The sequence below is a fragment of the Homo sapiens genome, chromosome 11 (genome assembly GCF_000001405.40).
Source record: "Homo sapiens chromosome 11, GRCh38.p14 Primary Assembly".
Lineage (NCBI taxonomy): Eukaryota > Metazoa > Chordata > Mammalia > Primates > Hominidae > Homo > Homo sapiens.
In genome coordinates, this window is record NC_000011.10 from 60,396,059 (window position 1) to 60,417,756 (window position 21,698).

The 21,698-nt window shown below is 37.5% G+C and overlaps 1 protein-coding gene across 8 annotated transcripts; it reads left to right on the forward strand.

Annotated features, from left to right (window-relative positions):
* The first annotated feature begins 400 nt into the window (after nt 1-400).
* Nucleotides 401-21,698, forward strand: MS4A14 (membrane spanning 4-domains A14). Of its 8 annotated transcripts, NR_049734.2 has the most exons (7): nt 401-658; nt 1,794-1,922; nt 4,346-4,396; nt 6,854-7,003; nt 8,488-8,608; nt 9,831-9,929; nt 19,379-21,698. NR_049734.2 is itself a non-coding variant. In NM_001261828.2 (6 exons), exons 1-6 carry the CDS (start codon nt 521-523, stop codon nt 20,948-20,950), a joined length of 2,139 nt encoding a protein of 712 aa, NP_001248757.1. In that variant the 5' UTR covers nt 401-520; the 3' UTR covers nt 20,951-21,698. The 8 variants fall into 8 exon arrangements, 4 of the variants coding, with proteins under 4 accessions (NP_001248757.1, NP_115986.3, NP_001248756.1 ...); NR_049732.2 differs by lacking the exon at nt 9,831-9,929; NR_049731.2 differs by lacking the exon at nt 4,346-4,396.

Consider the following 21,698-nt stretch of genomic DNA (forward strand, 5'->3'; position numbering starts at 1 on the left):
GAGTTTAAAAAACATAGATTTTGGAGACAGGTCAAGTTGAGTTTGCCCCTTCCCTGTCCTGTATGTCTTTGGGTGACATAACCTTGCTGTTCCTCAGTTTCAGTATTGTAGAACTGTTAAAAGAATAAATGTTAGTGCATGTCAACACCTTCTACACAGTTCCCAGAACATAAGGAATATTCCATAAGTTTTAGTTCCTTTATAACTCATGAACATATGTGTAAGGACTTGTTTCGTATATACCATCTATTCTTTGTTTACCATATGTTTGTAAGCAAATTGACAAGAGAGTAAGTCTTCTGGATACAGTACTTTTCACCAGGAAGATGGGGGGCTGAGCATGCTCTAGAATTCTAAAACTCTGTGACTCAACTATGATTCTGAGATTCTACTACTGAGTAGAGTCATCACTAAGGGCTCATCTCTGAGGGCTCCATGTGACTCTGGTGGAGAGGTAGATCATGATTTGGGCGGCAATGTTTGCTCACTCTTTCCCTTACTAGAGTTCTGCCATAGAATCATGGAGTCAACATCCCAGGACAGAAGGGCAACTCACGTCATCACTATAAAACCAAACGAAACTGTATTGACTGCATTTCCCTACAGACCTCATAGCTCTCTGCTGGATTTTCTGAAGGGAGAGCCAAGAGTCTTGGGGGTAAGTCCTCTCCAGTCAATAGGTCTTCCAGAAGGGGAGAAAAGAAGTTTATTTATTCATGTATGTCTGCAGAGATATGCAGAGATTATTTTCAGGGAGGGAGTTAATTCTACTTTTCCCCCTTCACCTTACATGAGAAATTAGTACTGATCTTTGAATCCCAGCAGAGGGGGAAGCAAGAAACTAGTATAACTTTTTAAAATATCTCATTGAGGAAGTGACTTCAGGGTGTGGTGGCACCTCCCTTGAAGCTAAGAAACCATAAGTGGAGAGGTTTGACTTCCCCTTCATGCTCTTAAAGGAATTGGGAGTGCTTCAAAACCCATATTCAAAGCTCCACAGTGAACCAAATGATAAGGCATGCAAAACGTTTTTCATCACAAATGCACCCAGGGGAGAGCTGTATGCACAGCCTCCATCCTTTGTACAACAGCAAAAATCATTACTTGGTGTGCCACAGCCCAGAGATGTGGCCTGGGGACAAAATCTAGACTGCCAGAGAAGTTGCGCCCTGAGAACCACTGCTGCTATTCTTTTCCCTGCAGATTCCTACAAGCTGATAGGCCCACTGGGCTATTCTCATCCCTAGTTGGGTCCATGGATGAAGGGGAGGTGAAATGCAAGCTCATCCCAGGTTCTCCACTCTATGTCATCAAACTTTTTAAATTTTTAGACAACTGGGATGAGCCCCAATTCCAAAAGCCTATACTGAGTGCTGGAAAATGTGGGGGTGGGGGCTGTTAGGATAATAATAGGATACTGGTGAGACAGACGAAAAAACAAATGTAAAGGTGAATAGTTTATAGTCCCTGTGCTCAAGAAGCTTATAATCTGGGGGTAGTCAGACATGTACTCAAATCTGTCTGATATAAGATTAATTGGTAACACCAGGGAAGATAGAAAATAATAAAGAATAAAAGTGAAGGATTTGAACCTGAAGGATCCAGGCAAGCAAAGTGGGAAGGAAACACATTGAACTGAGTCTCTTAACAATCTGAGAATGATTGACAAATGAGAGAGGAAGGCATTTGGATGGAGGGAAAGGTGTGCCATGGAGGCACACCCTGAGGGACGTGGGGTAGCCCACAGGGTCTTGGATACTTGTAACCTCATGTACCCATTTCTCTCCTCACAGGCTACCCAGATCCTGCTTGCTCTAATCATTGTGGGCTTTGGAACTATATTTGCACTTAATTACATCGGTTTCTCCCAAAGACTTCCCCTTGTTGTCCTCACAGGATATCCATTCTGGGGAGCACTTATTGTGAGTACTGTCGATTAGAAGCTTTGGAGAAATTGCTATAAAGATAGATTTGAACTGCTTCACGTCCTAGGGTAATGAATTCCATAAATATGGCCCTCCAGGAGACCAAAAAAGGCAGCTCCCTTCACGGCAAAAGAAGCAACTCCATTTGGTCACTGCACTACCATCATCATTGTAATAACTACTCTCAGGTGCTTAAAATTTGTTTCCAAAGCCCTTGTGTGTATAGTAAGACATTTGCTCCTCAATACCAACCTGGGAGACTAGATGCACAAATATCCTACTTATTCCTTTGCAAATAAGGAAACTGAGCTCAAAAGTAGAGAATAACTTAAACATATCTAGCCTAGCTAGCACTCATGGAATCACAGACTCTGAAAGCTTAAAAAGAATTTTAAAATTATTATCACTCATCCTCCTTCTTAGCCCCAGAGACAACTTTATGAGTGGCACTCATCTAGATAATCATATAGCCATAAATATTATTCTTAATACAGTGCTATTTCTATCCAATCCCCACAGCCTGGATTCCTAATTTTGTGCCATAATATTTAAGGACAGACTCATTAGAGCTTCTCCTACTATAACATACACTCCTGAGAAGACAGCAGTGTTACTGTCTGTTTTAGTTGTTATATTCTGAGAACCTAGAATCATGCTTGAGGCATAGTGTGCATGAACGAACGAATGAATCAATCAATCAATCAATCAACAAATAGGTGAAATAATTAATAAATTAGGCCACTATCTCTGACTATTAAAAATCCACAGTCTCTTTTGATAAACAGAAATACTCCATGCCTTTTCTATAATGTGCATTTCAGAAACAACCAGCAGTGTTTTCATTTTCCCAATATAAATAATGTAATATTCAATATGATTTTCAAACTATACATGCCATACTGTAGAAAATCAAACAGACCAACCCCTCACTTTCTCATTTCACAACAGAATTGTCCCAGTGTGACTTTGTGTACTCTGCATGTGTGAATTAAAATGAGATTCTGGCATGCTGCTTTTGAAAACTCTACTTTTCACTTAAAAGATATTTACTGAGCACATACCGCGTCTTCAATGGCATCCTAGGTGCTGAGACTGAGAATACTGGAAAACAGCTCCTCTCTGAGAGAAGTGGTGAATTGTTCTTAGATTTAGACAGTTTGTCATCTAACTGGGAGACTAGACATGAAAAAGTCAAAAGTAACCCCAAATATTTGTTCCTACACTTGTGCTAAGTGCTCTAAGAGGAGAGTTCCAGGTGCGATGTGAGGGTTTAATAGAGGACTCACCTGACCATGGAGGTCAGGCAAGTGCTTTCTGCGTAGCTGCTCACTAGGCGAAGTGGAAGGAAAGCATCCCTGGCAAAGATAAAGCATGAGCCAAGGGCTTGATGTGGGAAAGAGTAACCAAAAGAAGACCAATGAATCTATCGTGATGGCATAAAATGAGGCTATAAAGGTAGGGTGTAACCAGGTCGTGCCAACCCCTATAGTCATGTTAAGAAAATGGAACTTCAATGTGAAAGCATGGGAAAGCCACTGAACGTTTTTAAAGAGGATAGTGACACTTGAAGACTTGTTGAAGTATCATTGTGTTTTTAGAGTGAGAAATTAATTCAATTATAACAGTAAACCTAGGAGAATCCAATGAGAGGAGGCTACAAACACACAGATGAGGAAAGAGTTTCCCGAACTAGCTTGGTGGCAATGGAGCTAGAGATGGAGAGCCTTGAGAGTGACTCGGAGGTAGAAGTGACAGGACTTGGCAATCCAATGTGGGGAGTGAAGCGGAGGGAGGTATCAAAGGTAACTTTCTGATCTCTGCAAGTCAGCTGCAGATCCTTGGACTCTAAGACCCAGATGTCCCCAAGGTCCAAGGCCAGTTCCCACAGAGAAGGTTCCCATCCCCAGAACATTAAAAAAGTAAGGGACTCCACATGGAGTGACAGAGTTCTCATTTTCCTGAGGTGGTACTAGGCTCTACGATCATGGGAAATGAGGGACTCTGATAACTACACTAGATATCAGTCCCCATATCAGCCTTTAGAGGGGTCTTCCTTGAGAAAGTCTCCCTTCACCTGCTCAGAACAGGCACAGCTCCTCCTCTTCTCTTCAAGGCCCAGAGCTCAGGAATCTCTTTTTGGAGCCCCAGCCGGATCAAACATCTGGTCCTCTGGATCTTAGAGGAGCCTGCCTGTCCCAGTTGGCCCTGGCAGAGAGCGCTTGTTCAGTGCTGAGCAAATCCAGCACAAAGTTTCTTCCTACCCTACCTACGCCTACCTTCCCTACTCCCTGATGCTCAGGTGGAAAAACGGGATGGTCTTGGAGATTCACAAACAGATATTTTGCAAATCCAAGGGAAATTATACTGCAAGGTGGTCAAACACATCACCTGTTAACTTTTGTCTCTTGTCTTCTTAACAGTTTATTCTTACAGGATACCTCACAGTAACCGATAAGAAATCAAAACTTCTGGTAAGCCACTTAAACTACATAAAATTTAAAATCTTCTATTTGTTTTATATCATCTTTATGTATGAAGCCTTTAGTAATAAAGTTACCTTTCAGGAAAATCTGTATGCATCAAAGTTGCAGTTCAGATCATTCCTATTTGCCAGTGCCACTGTTTGCCTGACAGACATTCTTACACTTGTTCCCATTTCCCTGGTCAAGTAAACTAAAAGAGTTGTTTATTGGAAACCATTCTGCATCCCTGTAATTCATTGTTTGTAATTAGGGGTAATTCCCTGCCCTGCACCCCCCAGGACCCAGAAATATTGGACAACATCTGAAGACATTTTTGGTCATTACAACTGGTGTTATTGGCAACAAGTGAGTAGAGGCCAGGGACATTTCTAAGCATCTAAAATGCACAAGGCAGCCTCCCCCCAACACAAAAATTATCCAACAAAAAATGTTTATAGTACCAAGGTTGAGAAACCTTGCTCTAACCAAAACCAATCCTAAGCTCTCACTAATTCTTCCTCCCAATCCTAGCCCTATCTCCAATACCAACCGAGGCTTTTCTTTAGATCCTGCCCAAGGTCTGGAAGAAAGAGTTTGGGCATCAATGCTGGATTGTTCTAGGATTGAACCAAGGCTATCACTCACTTCTGTGTTAACCTGAAGGGAAAAGTGCCTACTTCTAAGGGTTATTTTGAGAGTTTAATGAGACATTACTGATAAAAGGCAAGATGATGCTTAAATGTTCATACTCCTTTCTAACCACTCTGATCTTGTTTAAGGTCCTGGGGATGTGGGCCTCTCTGAAAGTCAGTTGAACTCTGTTCTTATGGTCCTCTGCCAGTTTCCTCTAGGGATAGTTACAAGGCATAGAGACATTCTGAGGGGAGGGCAGATAAATGTTTCCATCCCTGCTTATGGAAATACATGCAGACAATGCAGATGAAGCCCCAAATGCTGTTCTCCCTGTATTGACTTCCTTCCAGAGCTGAGAAATAAACTATGGGTAAGGAAAACCTACTCCTGACTCACTGAGAGCTATGCAGATGGAGGTGTGCAGGAATGATGGAGGCAGGATGCTGAACCAGGCATCAGAAGACCTGGCTTTTCATCACAGCCCTTCCACAAACCGTGAAAGTGATTGCTCACAGTCACTTACTTCCTTAATTCCATTTATCTGTAAAATGTGGATAACAACAAGTGTCCTTCCTACAGCACAAAAGTATAATGAGAATCAGAAGAGACTAGGCTGGGCATGTTCTTTGTAAAGCCCAATACACATGAGGGATTGATTATCTAGAGATCTTAGTCTATAAAATGTCCTATGGGAGCCAAAATAGAGCCTTGAGAAAACAAGGGGACTAAAGACCAAGAGAGAGATGGCCTATCTATATGTTCCTGTGCATTTTCTGCCAAAGTGCCTATTTGCAATAAAAACCTGGGATTGAGGTAAACATTAAGTCACAAGTACACTTCTGAGGTTTGCCACACCAAGCCACAAACTTCCAGAAAGGACTGGCTGTGTAAAGGCATCATTGTATTTTCCACCACGGTAGTCATAACACAATCAATAAAGGTACAGCAAATACCTGATGAATGGAAATGTGAAGCTTTTCTTTGTTTTTCCTTTAAAAGAGTGATATCAGTCCTGGGAGTGGGTAAGAAGGAAGAAATCAGATGACCCCCTTCCTGTAAAGGAACTCGGATATACCTACCCCACCCACCCACACCCCCCTCCAAAAAAATAAGAATGAATAAAGGGAATTGGGTGGGGCAGTGTGAAATATTTTTATTGCAACAATGAGTTCAAGAAAAAACACCTTTAAACTCCAGTCCAAATAGGTTAACATCTTTAAATGTTAACGATTCTGTTGATTATTGCTTGAATTCTCCCAGGGAATGACTGTAAACCACATGATTGCAGGATGTCACCTCTTTTGTTCATTTTTGTTTCTCCAGGGCCTAATGCAGTACTCACATGTATCTGGTGCACATTAAATATTTATGAAATAAATGAATAAATGGATACTACCCTAAAAGTTAGGTGACACATTCACATTTTTAAAGGCAGAAATTGAGATTCCAGGAGATTAGGTTACTTGCCTAAGGTCCTAGTGAAACTTGGACTTGAAATGAGGTTTCATTTCCAAGCAAAGATATTTGCTAACACATTGTACTGCTTCCAGATTATGAAAGATGGTGGTGATAAAATGAGATAAAATGGGATAAAATGAACATTTTCTTTAGCATTAGCCATAGAGCATCCTTAGCCCATTCTAAAACTTGGTTTGTCTTCTGACTTTAATGAGTTAGAATTTAGTTTATTAAGCCTTCCAATCATACTGACCTGATGGAACAACTCTTCCCTGAGAAGTATCTGGAAAGATAAAAGCACTAAAAATTTCTTACAAGATATTTTTGCTTTGGTTTCGATCTTATTTATTTTATCATTTTTAAACTATCTTTCAGGGTCAAGGTGTCACGGGCATGAATGTTATCAGCTCCTTGGTTGCGATAACTGGGATTACTTTCACCATTCTCAGCTACAGACATCAAGACAAGTACTGCCAGATGCCATCCTTTGAAGAAATATGTGTTTTCAGTAGAACTCTTTTCATTGTAAGTGGTCTTATTTTGCATGAAGAATCCCTAAAATCTTCTCTGAACTGTGTCCATGATGTAATGATTCACTGATTTTTATTTTATTAAATGAAGTTGTGTCAGCATTTGAACTGACGGTTGAGAAGGGTACCATGGGGTTACTGTTACAATGGTTAAGGAGCGATATTTTCTGGACTTGAATCCTGTTCACACAAGCTTGTCACCTTGGCCTAATATTGTATTCTCTCTAAGCTTCGGTTTTCCTCAAGTGGAAAATGAACATAATGAGAATGCTTACCTCATGGGTTGTTGTGAGGATTGCTTAAATTAAAACAGTACCTTGCACAGTTAAATAGTCAGTAGGTTTAGCTAATACAATTATTATGGCCATAGATTGAATTAAATTTTACTGTTTCAGCATTAATGAACAAAATGATCTAAAAGTTTGCTCAATAACACTGAGATCAAAATACAGTGGGGGAAGGTATTTAGAAGTCATTTAAAAAAATAAGGATTTTTATAAGCTTAAGACATACATTATTTCACATAATTGTGGCAATTTTATTCATTAAAGCAGATGAGAGATCTTTTACCAGGAAATGTAGTTGTCTGTGCAATTTAAAGTATTTATCTAACAAGTAATCAGTGACATTATTTTTAAGCATGTCAGTGACTCCAATAGGCCTTTCTCTCTAGTTCCCTAAGCAAGTCCTGGGGTTTTATTTTATTCCTACCAGCTATATCTTGAAGCATGGGTTCTATAATTTGAAGAATATTTGAATCCGTTAGAAGGGAAATAAAGTGGAATCACAGAAAATGGTCTTCCTCAGTAAATAAGAAATGAGAAGTTAGTTCCTGAATACAAGAGGTAATTTAATCCTCACAATCACTCAGTGAAATGGTCCCAGGGACTCTCTCATGTGTTCTGAGATAAATTCTAAAATTAGACTCATGATAGATTACTAAAGAAAGCCAGAAAACAACATAAGCGATAAAACCCTGTCCTAACTGGGCCAAGAACATGATACAACATTATAATTCTTGGCCATTGCTGAATGGACAGGAGGCAACTACTGTTTGTTATGTTCGTATATACGAGGAAGAACTTGTATATACCCGAAAGGGTTAAATCTCCAGATATATGAAATTCCGTATTTCCTGCTGTCCATGGATGGGTATTGCAAGATTAGTTACCTGCATACAGAACCATGAACAATCTCTTCCTAGTTCTCACTTACATAACTTAACAATTTCTTGCTGTAACCCAAACATCATAAGCTAAAAGAGCCAGAACAGTGGGCTTTAGATGTCTCTTGGGCTGACCCCTGTCCTAAAGACCAATCTATTGTCTATACTGTGGCTAGAGTAATCATTTAAAAATGTAAATCTGAGCCATTACTTAATGGCTTCCTGTAAAACGTATGATGATTAAGACCCAAATCTTAACAGCCTTACCAAACCCTGTAACACCTATCCTACCTATCTTTCCAACATTATTCCAGGACTTCATCCTTCTCACTCCTCCACACTCCAGCCACTTCCTATAATCCCTTAATGTGTCAAGTATCCACGGCCCCAAGATGATCAGAGGATCAGCTTCTTCCGGCTTTGAACCGTCACCAGGCCAGTTATACAATTAACTCATCCTCATACTTAAATCTCAACTGAAATACCACTTCTTTAAGGAAGTTCTTCCTGACCTCACCTCTATGCTCATATCTGCATAGATCCCCCATTAGAGTAGCGCATAGCTCCCAATCCTTCTTCACAGCATTTATCACAATTTAGTTAGGTAAATAATTATCTAATTACTTGTTATTGTCTGCCTCCCTTACCATGATGTAAGTTCTACAAAATCCAAGACCAGGTATATCTTGTTCAATGGAGAAAGTCAGTAAATTGCATACAATAGGGTCTTCATACATTTCAGTTTTACCAACAAATATTGAATATTTAAGATTTTGGGTGTATTGCAGGGAAACCAAGATTCAGAAACACACAGTTATTTGTTCAAGGTTAAGTGGGACTTTGGACCCACTTTTTTTTTTTTTTGAGATGGAGTTTTGCTCTTGTTGCCCAGGTTTGGAGTGCAATGGCACAATCTCGGCTCACCACAACCTCCGCCTCCTAGGTTCAAGCAATTCTCCTGCCTCAGCCTCCCGAGTAGCTGGGATTACAGGCATGCACCACCAGGCCCAGCTAATTTTGTATTTTTAGTAGAGACGGGGTTTCTCCATGTTGGTCAGGCTGGTCGCAAACTCCCAACCTCAGTTAATCCTCCTGCCTTGGCCTCCCAAAGTGCTGGGATTACAGGCGTGAGCCACCGCGCCCGGCCAACCTTGGACTCACTGTAACTCAGGTCTTTCTGTCTTCATAGTTTAAACTTTTGAGACACCATAAGGTACCATGTTACTTCTCAATATAAACATTACCTTAAAGCAAAATGGGCAAAATGGCAATCTGTGGGCTATATCCAGCCTGTATATATGTTCTATCTGGCTCTTTAGGGAAAAACAAACAAAATAGGCATTATGGTATCCATGTTCCCACATGACAGCAATTGGCTGGAATTGAGTAATGGATGCCTCCTATGAATACTATTACTCTCTACTCTTTCCCTGTTTAGTTCACAATGACTGCCCAGCTCCCATGGACATTGGAGTTTGTTATCCCTGCCTCATCAGAAAGACACAAGATGAAAATTGTGCAGTGTCTGATGGCTACAGAACCATCCAAAATATGGGTTTCCCATACTTGGTGATAGAGTGTAAGGGGTTCTCAGCTTATATATTTAAAATAACAGCTCTCATTTCAAATACCATTTATTTCTCCTCATTATTTGCAGGGAATTTTGTTAATCTTACTGATCATCAGCATAGCAGAGCTCAGCATCTCTGTGACTATTGCATCCTTTAGAAGCAAGTGCTGGACACAGTCAGATGAGGTGTGTTCTGATGTCTCTTAATATTATTAAGAGAACAGGTTCCTGTTCCTGTTGGGATACTGCACACAATGATGTCTGATTTATTAGTAGGAAAAGCAGCATGCTCAGATGCTGAAATAAAACATCTAAATTTAGGAAGGTCAGAGAGGGGCAAGCTTAAGATTGAAGCTCACCCCACCATCTGAAACAACTATGCTTTCCTTTCTTGTACTATCTGCTTTATACTCAGTCATCTCTGTTAAGACATAGCTCCTTATGTCTCTGCCAAAAATATGTAATATCAGACTTAACAGGAACCCAAATTACTGTGACATGGGGTGTATATTCTTGGATCATAAGATGTGTGACACAGTTCCACCACCACAAAAGAAATAGGAAAAAAAGCTGTTACTACTGATACTACATAGTATTTATAATAATTGTTATAGATTATATTTACTGAATTCTGACTATGTCAGTCACTGTTATAATCACTGAGCACCAACTTAATCTTAACAAAACTATTATAACATCTTTATTTTACATATGAAGGAAGTAAGGCACAAAGAGGCTAAACTAACCTCTCCAGTACCACATAACATCAGGATTCTGACCCCTGTGATATGTCTCCAGAGCCTGCTCACTAAGTCCCAAATACCAGTACAGGCCTTGTGATTTATGGAGATTTCATTTCTCTCTCTAGCTCTCTCTTTTTTTTACATCAACTTTATAGAAGTATCATTTATAAACAACAAAATGTACCTATGTTTAGCTACCATCACAATCAAGGTATAGTGCATTCCTAGCATCCCGGAAGGTTCACTGGAACCCCTTTGTAGTCAATGTTCTCATCACCTAGATTGGTTTTGACTTTCCAAAATTTCATATTCATGGAATCATAAGTAAGTACTCTCTGTATATGGCTTATATGGCTTCTTCCACACAGAAATATGTTTTTGAGAGTCATCCATGCTGTTGCCTCTATCAAGAATTCATTCCCTTTATGTATGGGTACACCACAATTTGTTTATCAATTTACCTTTTTTTTTTTTTTTTTTTTTTTTTTGAGTCGAGACCTCACTCTATGACCCAGGCTGGAATGCAGTGGCACTGTCTCGGCTCACTGCAGCCTCAATCTCCTGGACTCAAGCAACCTTTCCACCTCAGCCTCCCAAATAGCTGGGACTGCAAGCATGCGCCACCACCCCCAGCTAAATTTTTTTTGTATTTTTTTTGTAGAAATAGGGTTTTGCCACGTTGCCCAGGCTGCTCTCAAACTCCTTGGCTCAAGTGATACACCCACCATGACCTTCCAAAGTTCTGGGATTACAGGTGTGCGCCACTGCGCCCAGTCCATTTACCTTTTGATGGGTATTTAGATTGTTTAAAGTTCTGAACTATTATCATAAGTTACTAAGAATATTTGAGTTCATATATTTGTGTGGACATATTTTCACTTCTCCTGGAGTGTTGCATCTAGGATTTGATTGCGAGATCGTATGGTAACCAGATGTTTAACTTTATAAGAAAATACCAAACAGTTTGTCAAAGTGGCTGTATTGCTTTTCATTCTCATCAACAATGTGTGAGAGGGACAGTTGCTCCATATCATTAACACTTGAAACTGTCAGTTTATTAATAATTTAGCTATTTTAGTGGGTATGTAGTGGCACCTCATTGTAGTTTTAATTTACATTTCCCTAATGACTAATGATGATGACACTCTTGCTATATGTTTATTATCCATTTGTGTATCTTCTTTTGAGATGTCTGTTCAAATATTTAGCTGAATTTTATTGGATTATCTTCTTATTGGCCTTATAGCAGCCTAATTAATTCTTAATACAAATCCTTTACAAATATTTTTTCACACTGTGACTTGCCTTTTCATTTTCTTAATAGCTTCTTTGAAAAAAACAAATTTGATGAAGTTCCATTTATCATTTTTGCTTTTATGGTTATGGTTTTTGTGTTCTGTTTAACAGGTTTTCCCTACCCCCAAATCATGAAGGTTTTCTTCTATCTTTTCCTACAGAAGTTTTATAATTTTAGCTTTTGTGTTTAGATGTATGGTCTATCTTAACTTTCATGTACAGTTGTAGGGTAAGGTTAGAAGTTAATGCACATCCCCCCTCATGGAGATATCCAGTTGTTAACGCCATTTGTTGAAAATGCAATGCTTTCCTCCATCACCTTGGTATTTTTGTTGAAAATCAATTTACTTATTATTTATTTGTAGGTCTCTTTTGGATACTTTTTCCCTCTGGCCACTACGTCTATCCTTCCACGTATTCTACACTCTCTTCATTTCTGTGTCTTTAGAGTAATTCTTTTGCATTGTGGTGAAATATATATAACATAATAGTTATCATTTTAGTCATTTGTTCAAATCATTGAATACATTAATAATGTTGTGTAACTCTCACCACTATCTATGCCCCAAAATTTTTCATCATCCCCAACACAAACTCTGTACCACAAAACAATCACTCCCCGATTCCCCTCCTGATTGCCCCTGGTACCCTCTATCCTACTTTCTATATTATGAATTTGCCTTTTCTAGAGACCTCATATAAGTGGAATCTTACAATATTTGTCCTTCTCTAACTGGCTTATTTGAGTAAGCATAATATTTTCAAGATTAATCCATGTTGTAGCATATATCAAAATTTCATTCCTTCTATGACTAAATAAAATTCCATTTTGTGTATATACCATATTTTGCTTAGCCATTAATTTGTTGATGGACACAGATATTTCTGCCTTTTGCATATTGTGAATAATGCTGTTACGAACATTGGTGTAAAAATATCTGCTCAAGTCCCTGTTTTCAATTCTTTTGGATACATACCTAAGAGCGAAATTGCTGGCTTATATGGAGTTCTGTGTTTAATGTTTTGAGAAAATGCCAAATTGTTTTTCACCTTCGTTGCACCATCTTACATTTCCACTAGCAGTGTACAAGGATTCCAATTTCTCCACATCTCCATCAATACCAACCAACAGGGGAAAAGGGGGAGTAATTATTTTCCATTTATTTTTAATTTTCAATTTATGATTGACACATAATTGTACATATTTATGGGGTACAGTGTGATGCTTCAATGCATGTTACATTTTCTAATGATCAAATCATGGTAATTACCACATTCATCACTTTAAACATCATTTCTTTGTAGTGATGACATTCCAAATTTTCTCTTCTAGTCACCTGGAAATATACACTACGTTGTAATTTGCTATAGTCATGCTACTAAGTATAGAACTTATTCTTACTATCTATAGTAAGTAAGAACTTACTCTTCCTGTCTAGAATTTTATACCCATTGACCAATCCTTCCCGGTCCTCCCATCCTCCCTACCTTCCCTAGCCTCTGGTAACCACTATTCTAGTCTTCACTTCCATGAAGTCAACTTTTTTAGATTCCAAATGTGTGTGAGATCATGCAGTGTTTGTCTTTCTCAGCCTGGCTTATTTCACTTAATATAATGTCCTCCAGGTTAATGCATGTTGCCACAAATGACAGAATTACATTCTGTTTTATGGCTGAATAGTATTCTATTGTTTGTGTGTGTGTGTACATTATATATATGTAATATATAATGTATATTTTATATATATATATATTACATTTTCTTTATTCATTTATGTGTAGATAGGCATTTAGGTTGATTCCTTATCTTGGCTCTTGTGAATAGCACTGCAGTAAATATGGGAGTACAGATGTTTCTCCAACTGTCTTCATTTCCTTTGAATATATACCCTGTAATGGGATTTCTGGATCATATTTGTTTTTATCATGGCCATCTTTTTTCTTTCTTTCTTTCCTTCTTTCCTTCTTTCTTTCTTTCTTTTTCTTTCTTTCTTTAATTTTTATACAAAGACTATGTCACTTAGGCTACAGTGGCACAAGATCATATGTCACTTAGGCTACAGTGGCACAAGATCATAGCTCACTGCAGCCTCAAACTCCTGGGCTTAAATGATTCTCCTGTTTCAGTCTCCTGAGTACCTGGGATGAAAGGCATGTGCCACCACACCCACATAAATTTTTATTTTTATTTTTATTTTTGTAGAGACAAGGTCTTGCTATGCTGTCAGGGCTGGTCTTGAACTCCTGCCTTTAAGCCATCCTTCCACCTTGGCCTTCCAAACTGCTGGGATTAAAGGCATGAGTCACCACACCCAGCCTTATATAATGGCCATCTTAATGGGTGTGAAGTGGTATCTCATACTTTTGATTTGCTTTTACCTAATGATTTGATGTTGAGCATCCATGTATACATCTTCTTTGGAGAAATAACTGTTATAGTCTTGCCTGTTTCTTAATTGGGCTGTTTGTTTTTTGTTGTTGAATTGTAGAGTTCTTTATATATTCTGGATCTTAGTCCCTCAGTAGACATATGATTTGCAAATATTTTCTCCTATTCTGTAGGTTGTCTTTGCACTTTCTTGATGACTTTTGATGCACAAAAGTTCTTTATGAAGTATAATTAATCTATTATTTTGTTGTTTTCTGTGCCTTTCTTGTCACATCCATGAAATTATTGCCAAATTGTCATGAAGATATCTTCCAACTTTTTTCCATGAAATGTATGGTTTTAGCTCTTAGGCTTAGTGTCGGATTGATTTTGAGTTAATGTTTGTATATGGTATAAGGTAAGGGTCCAACTCTATTCTTTCACATGTGGATGCCCAGTTATTCCAGCATCATATGTTGAAAAAATTCCTTTCCCCATTGAATATTCTTGGTGTCTATGTTGAAAATTGATTTACTATATATGTGATATAAGTGAGCATTTATTTCTGAATGATTCCATTGGTCTATATATCTTCCCTTATGCCAGGTACCATATTTTTTGGGTTTTTTTTTTTGTTTGTTTTTTGTTTTTTGTTTTGATGGAGTCTTGCTCTGTCACCCAGGCTGGAGTGCAGTGGTGAGATCTCAGCTCACTGCAAACTCTGCCTCCCGGGTTCAAGCAATTCTTCTGCCTCGGCCTCCTAAGTAGCTGGGACTATAGGCGCATGCCACCATGCCAGGCTAATTTTTGTATTTTTAGTAGAGACGAGGTTTCACCACATTGGCCAGGCTCATCTCGAGCTCCTGACCTCAGGTGATCCACCCGCCTCGGCCTCCCAAAGTGCTAGGATTACAGGCATGAGCCACTGTGCCCGGCCCTGTATTGTTTTAATTAGTGTAGCTTTACAGTACGTTTCAAAGTTGGAAAGTATAATCACTCAAACTGTATTATTCTTTTTCATTATTGTTTTGGCTATTCAGGGCCTCTTAAAATTCAATATGAACTTGAGGATCCATTTTTCCATTTATAAGAAAAAGACTGTTGGAATTTTGATAGAAATTGTATTGAATCTGTATATTGCTTTGAGCAGCACTGACATCTTAACAATTTTAAATCTTCTTATACGTGAACACAAGATGTCTTTTCATTTATTTAGGTCTCCAATTACATTCAGCAATGATTTATATTTTTTAGCATAGAGGTCTTTCATCCCATTGGTTAGATTTATTCTAAAGTATGTAATTATTTTAGGTGGCATTATAAATGAAATTGCTTTTTAAATGTTATTTTCATATTGTTTATTGCTGTTATACAGAAACAACAATGATTTTTTGTGGGTTGCTCTTGTATCTTGAACCTTGTTGCAATCCTGTATTAGGTCTAGTAGCTTTCCTGTGGATTTGGGAGGATTTTCTATATAGGAAGATCATGTCATCTGGAAATACAGATGGCCTTAATCTCCTCTTTTCTAATTTGGATGAATTTTATTTCTTTTTATTTTCTAATAGCTCTAGCTAGAACTTTTAGTACAATATTTAATAGCAGCAGTGAAAGAAAGCATTCTTATATAGTTCCTGATCTTAGGGGGAAAGCTTTTAATCTTTCACCACTGAGTATGATATTAGCTGTGGGTGTTTTATAAATAAACTTTACATATTGAGGAATTTTCCATCTCTTCCTAGTTTTATGAGAGGTTTTCTCATGAAAGGCATTTCATCAAATGCCTTTTCTACTCCAAGTGAGATGACTGTGTGGGGGTTTTCCAACATTATATTAATGTAATGTATTACATTTATTGATTTTCTTATTGTACCATCCTTGTATTTTGCTTATCAATTTCACTTCATCATATGAATAATCCTTTTCTAATATTTTGTTGGCAATTTTTGTATCTACACTTATAAAGGATATTAATCTGTAATTTTCTTTTCTTGCAGCATAATTATCTGTTTTTGGTATCAAGGTAATGGTGGCCTCATAGAATGAGTTAGGCAATTTTCCCTTCTCTTCAAGTTTTCAGAAGAGTTTGAGAATAATTGTTTTTTTTTTTTCTTTAAATTTTGGTAGAATTCACTGGTGAAGCCATCTGATCCAGAAGTTTCCTTTGTTAGGAACTTTTAGATTACGAATCTTTTTACTTGTTATGGATCTGTAAAGATTTTCTATTTCTTCTTGAATCATTTTAGGTAATTTGTGTGTTGCAAGGAATTTGCCCATTTCTTATACAGTATCTGATTTCTTGGCATATAAGTTTTTATAGTATTCTTTTACAATACTTTATACTTTTACTCTCTATAAGGTCAGTAATAATGTCTTACTTTTATGTCTTGTTTTAATTGTTTTATTGTCTTTTTGCTTTTCAGTATAGGTAAAGGTTTATCAATTTTGTTGATCTTTTAAAAGAATCAACATTTGGGTTCATTGATTTTCTCTATTGTTTTTCAATTCTCTATGGAGATTTCTCTTCTGCCCCACTAAAATTATGCTAGAGTAATTCTTGAAATCAGATAGTATAAATCTTCCAACTTTGTTATTTTTCAAAATTGTTTTGGCTGTTCTAGGTCATATGAATTTCCACATAAGTTTTAGAATTCGTTTATTGATTGCTACAAAAATCTTGCTGGGATTTTGGTTGGAATTGTACTGAGCCTATAGATAATTTATAAACAATTTACTTCTTAGTAATATGTAGTCTTCTGATCCATGTCCATGAAACATGTCTGTATTTTCTTACATCTCATTTCATTTCTCTCAGCACTATTTTATTATTTACAATGTATAAGCCTTATGCATACTTTGTTAAATGTATCTGTAATTATTTCATTTTTTCTTGATATTGTACATGGTATTTTTAATTTTATTTTTTAAATGTTCATTCCCACATATAGAAATGCAATTTATTTTTATATACTGGTCTACTATGACCTTTCTAAACTAACTTATTAGTTCCCATAGCTTTTTTTTAATAGAGTTTCTAGAATTTTCTTAGTAGATAACCATTTTAAGTATTAATAAAGACATTTTTACTCCCAAACTTTATGCCTCATTTTTCTTGCCCTATTACACTGTGTAGTCTCCAATACAATGTTTAAAATAAGTGATGAAAATAGCAATCTTTCCTTGTTCTTGATCTTAGGGTGAAAATGTTCAATATTTTACCCTTAAATATGATGTTTTTTGTAGGTTTTTTACAGAGTAAATTTACCCTGTTGCGCAGATTTTTTAAAATCATGAATGGGTATTGGCTTTTGTCATTTTTCATCTCATGCTTTCATCTTTATCGTATTATCTGTATATTACACAACTAGAGGAGAGTACAAACCCTGTTTTAAGCCCTTTAGAAACAATACTAAAATAAGTTACACTAAATAACTCTTCAATTGAATTTAGTGAATACAGATCTTTAATCCACTAATGGCACAGTAATGTGCAAAGTACAACAGGGGATTCAAAAATAATAAAATATGTACCTTGATCTCAAGAAAAGGAAAGGGAAAGTGAACTCTACATTTACGGAGAAATTTCTCTGTGCCAGTTTCTGTGCTTGAAAGTATTATTTCATTTGGTCTTTAGTCTTAGCCACCCTGAAGTAGGAAGTAGGTGACGTTATTAATACAAGAAGCATAGATCAGAGAGGAAAGCACAGGACCTCAGATTCAACTACAATTTTTAAATCCTTCCCAAGTAAACAGCTCTACGATACTGGTCTGGTTATTTAACATCTCTGAACCTCAATTCCCTCAATTCTAAAAGAAGGATAATAACTTCATAGGGATGTCATACCAATTTTTGTGATGACTTTGGAACATTGTCTAGCATCTGGTAATCACTGAGTTCTCATTAATGGATGAGGAAATTTAAAATCATAGCACTTAAGAGCTTTAATAAACAGAGAAACTATAATTATTTCTTCCAAACCTCTTTTTAAGTGGAAGAATAAATTAAAATTCACATGAAACAAAGTTTGAGGATTCTTAGAAATATAGAAATCTCTTCCAAAGTACCATTTATACTCACATAAATAGTCCTTCAATAGGGATAAAATATAGGTGTGAAAAACTAATTAGAAGAATGGGAAATGCAATGTATTATTTCAGAGAATGTGTAGATTCTCAATCTAGGCCTGCTATTAGCAAACGAGGTAAGCATAATTAATTCATTTAATCACTGAGTTCTGATCCACTTCATCAAATAGAACAAGTAGTCTATTCTGACTATGAATTATCTCAGAAAGGTGTAATTCATGGAGTCAGAATAAAAAGCAGCAGGTTGTGCTGCAGTAACAACCTCCTAAAAATTATAATAATAAAATGAGAACTAATGGGAAGCATTGCAGGTTGTATCAGATGTGGTCACTTAGCTGTTTAAAAAACTCCAATTGCTTCCTCTTATTTGTAAAGGAAAGTCCAAATTTCCTAGCCTAGCATACCATCTAATAATATCAGTAATATCTAACTGCTTACCATCTGCCATCACACCATGCTATATCACAACCTTGTGTTTTTGTACCCGCTATTCCACTGCTGCTTCTACCTGGATTCTGACTCCTGTCTTATTTCATCTTACCGTCTATGCCTGAGTAATTCCTACTCAGCTGTTAAGATATAGATTAAATATTGCCTCTTCTGTAAAGCATTTCCAGGTTGTCTCAGAATTAGGTCATCTTCTATGTTCCCATAAAGCACTAAGTACCTATTTATGTAATTGCATTTGCTGAATTGTATTACTATTATCTATTTATATGTTGATGTACAGATAGTTGTGAGCACCTTAAGGGAAAATCCCACATCTAATTGTCTTTGATTCCCAGCATTTAGTTCATCTGGGTGATCAATAAACTATTATAGATTAAGCATGAATATATGAATATTGACTAGATGATATAAAATGTCTCAGAAGCTTTATAATATTAAGTATGGGAGGAATTTTTGAGGCAATCTTAATCAAATTCCTCTGTTCAATATTTGAAAGACTAAAAGGTGATGACTTCTAAAATAATACCAATAAGTTAATGGTAAAGGCAGGACTGGCATTCGTTTTCTGCCTTCTCATTTAGATGTTATTTCCTATCTACTGTCTTAAGTCAGAAATGAAAAGTAACTTGGAAAACAAAAAAAAAATCAGACATGATTCTGTCATATTAATTACCCTCATCCTTGCTTTTATAGGTTCTGTTTTTCTTGCCTTCGGATGTTACTCAAAATAGTGAACAACCTGCCCCAGAAGAAAATGATCAATTACAATTTGTGCTTCAAGAAGAGTTTTCCAGTGATGATTCAACAACAAATGCACAATCTGTTATCTTTGGAGGCTATGCTTTCTTCAAGTTAACACTCTCTAGGAGTCCTTTAGTCTCCCAACCAGGTAATAAAGGTAGAGAATTTGTGCCAGATGAACAAAAGCAAAGTATCCTTCCATCTCCCAAATTTTCAGAGGAAGAAATTGAACCTTTGCCTCCCACACTAGAGAAAAAGCCCTCAGAAAATATGTCCATTCAGCTAGACTCTACATTTAAACAAATGAAAGATGAAGATCTACAATCTGCTATTGTACAACCTTCTCAAATGCAAACCAAGCTTCTGCAGGACCAAGCTGCGTCACTCCAAGTTTTTCCATCCCATTCTGCACTAAAACTCGAAGATATATCACCTGAAGACTTGCCATCCCAAGCTCTACCAGTAGAAGGCCTGTCAGAACAAACCATGCCATCTAAGTCTACATCATCCCATGTCAAACAGTCTTCTAATCTGACAGCTAATGACCTGCCCCCTCAAGGCATACTATCCCAAGACACATCATCTCAAGATATGCTGTTTCATGACATGACATCCCAAGATATGCAATCCCTAGATATGCTATCTCAAGACACACCATCCCACGCCATGCCACCTCAAGACATACCTTCCCAAGATATGCTATCCCAAGCTCTATCAGCGCATGCCATATTACCTGAAGCCTCAACATCCCATATTGTGCAGTTCCCTGAAATACAACACCTACTTCAGCAGCCCCCAGATCTTCAACCAGAAAACACTGAACCTCAAAACCAGCAAATTTTACAAATGTCATATCAAGATATTAGATCAGAAGTTATGGAAGAGACCAAAGAATGGAAATCTGAGGAGGAACTCCATAGAAGAAAATCCTCAAGACGGCATTCCTTAAACCAGCAAACCAAAGCCTTGCAATACTTAAGGAGACATTCTTTAGACGTGCAAGCCAAAGGCCAGAAATCCTCAAAGAGGCATTCCTTAGATCAGCAAAGCAAAGGCTGGCAATCTCCAAAGCAGAAATCCTTAGACCAGCAAATCAAAGACTGGCTATCCCCAAAGAGGCACTCCGTAGATAAGCAAGCTCAACTTAATCAAACTAAAGAGCAACTCCCAGATCAGCAAGCTGAAGATCAGCAAGCCAAAGGGGAACAATACCCAGAAGGACAATCTAAAGATGGACAAGTTAAAGACCAGCAGACTGATAAGGAGCAAAACTCAAAGAAGCAAACCCAGGATCAGCAAACTGAAGACCAGCCGGCCCAAGAGAAGAAATCCCCGAAAGGACAATTCCAAAATGTTCAAGCCGAAGGACAGCAAGCTCAGGTGGAGAAAGTGCCAAAACTGTTATGCCAAGATTCAGAATCCCAAATACAGCAATACCAATTCTGGCAATTCCACAAAGGCAATCTCCAGGCTGGACAACCCAGGACTGTCAATCTTTTGGCCAAGAATCCCCTGACTGGATAACTCAGGGCTGGAGAAACAAAGATTATAAAGCACGAGAATGGCAATTTGAAATGAAGCACTGGCAAACACAGGATCTATTAGAGAAAGAAGCCCTAAAGCAGAAAGCTCTATACCAAGAAGTCCAAACCCAGCACGCAACAGCCCAACATAACCTAGAATGTCAAGACACTCAAGATAAAGACCAACAAGACCTTCAATCCAGAGTTACACAAAAAGGAGATATGTACACTAGAGACATCAAACCAGGGGACATGAAATGTATAGGGCAAACCTCAGGGGACCTGCAATCAGAAGACGTGAAGGCAGATTTTCATTCTTCTTCTGGCCAAAGCTCAGTACAAGACACATGTTTAGCCTATTTGTCCAATCTAGATTCAGAACAAGATGTGCAACCAGACACTTCAGCTTCCTCAAATTCATATAAAGAAGATGTGAATTTAACTTCTACTTCATGTGATCCAAAAGATCAACAGCAATCTGAAGACTCTGACTAACATGCAGAATCTACCCAATACCACACTGCCCCCATTAATGGAATTAAATTGGGAAAAACAATATTGCCTCCTCCAATCTGTGTTCTCAACTGTGGTTGCCACCTCATTAACTTACAAAAAAATGAAGGGCATGCTGAGCACTCAAACAATTTGTTCTTACTTAAAATAAAATGACAACAAACCAAATGTTAACACTGTATCATCACTTTATGTATGTGAAGAAATAATTCACATGTATATTCCTTGTCATCAAA

Excerpts from the sequence above, each read along its gene's own strand:
- MS4A14 (NM_001261828.2), top strand. The coding sequence starts at position 521 with ATGGAGTCAACATCCCAGGACAGAAGGGCAACTCACGTCATCACTATA. Across the intron at positions 4,397-6,853 it reads ATAAGAAATCAAAACTTCTG|GGTCAAGGTGTCACGGGCAT; the intron begins GTAAGCCACTTA and ends ACTATCTTTCAG. Across the intron at positions 7,004-9,830 it reads TCAGTAGAACTCTTTTCATT|GGAATTTTGTTAATCTTACT; the intron begins GTAAGTGGTCTT and ends CATTATTTGCAG.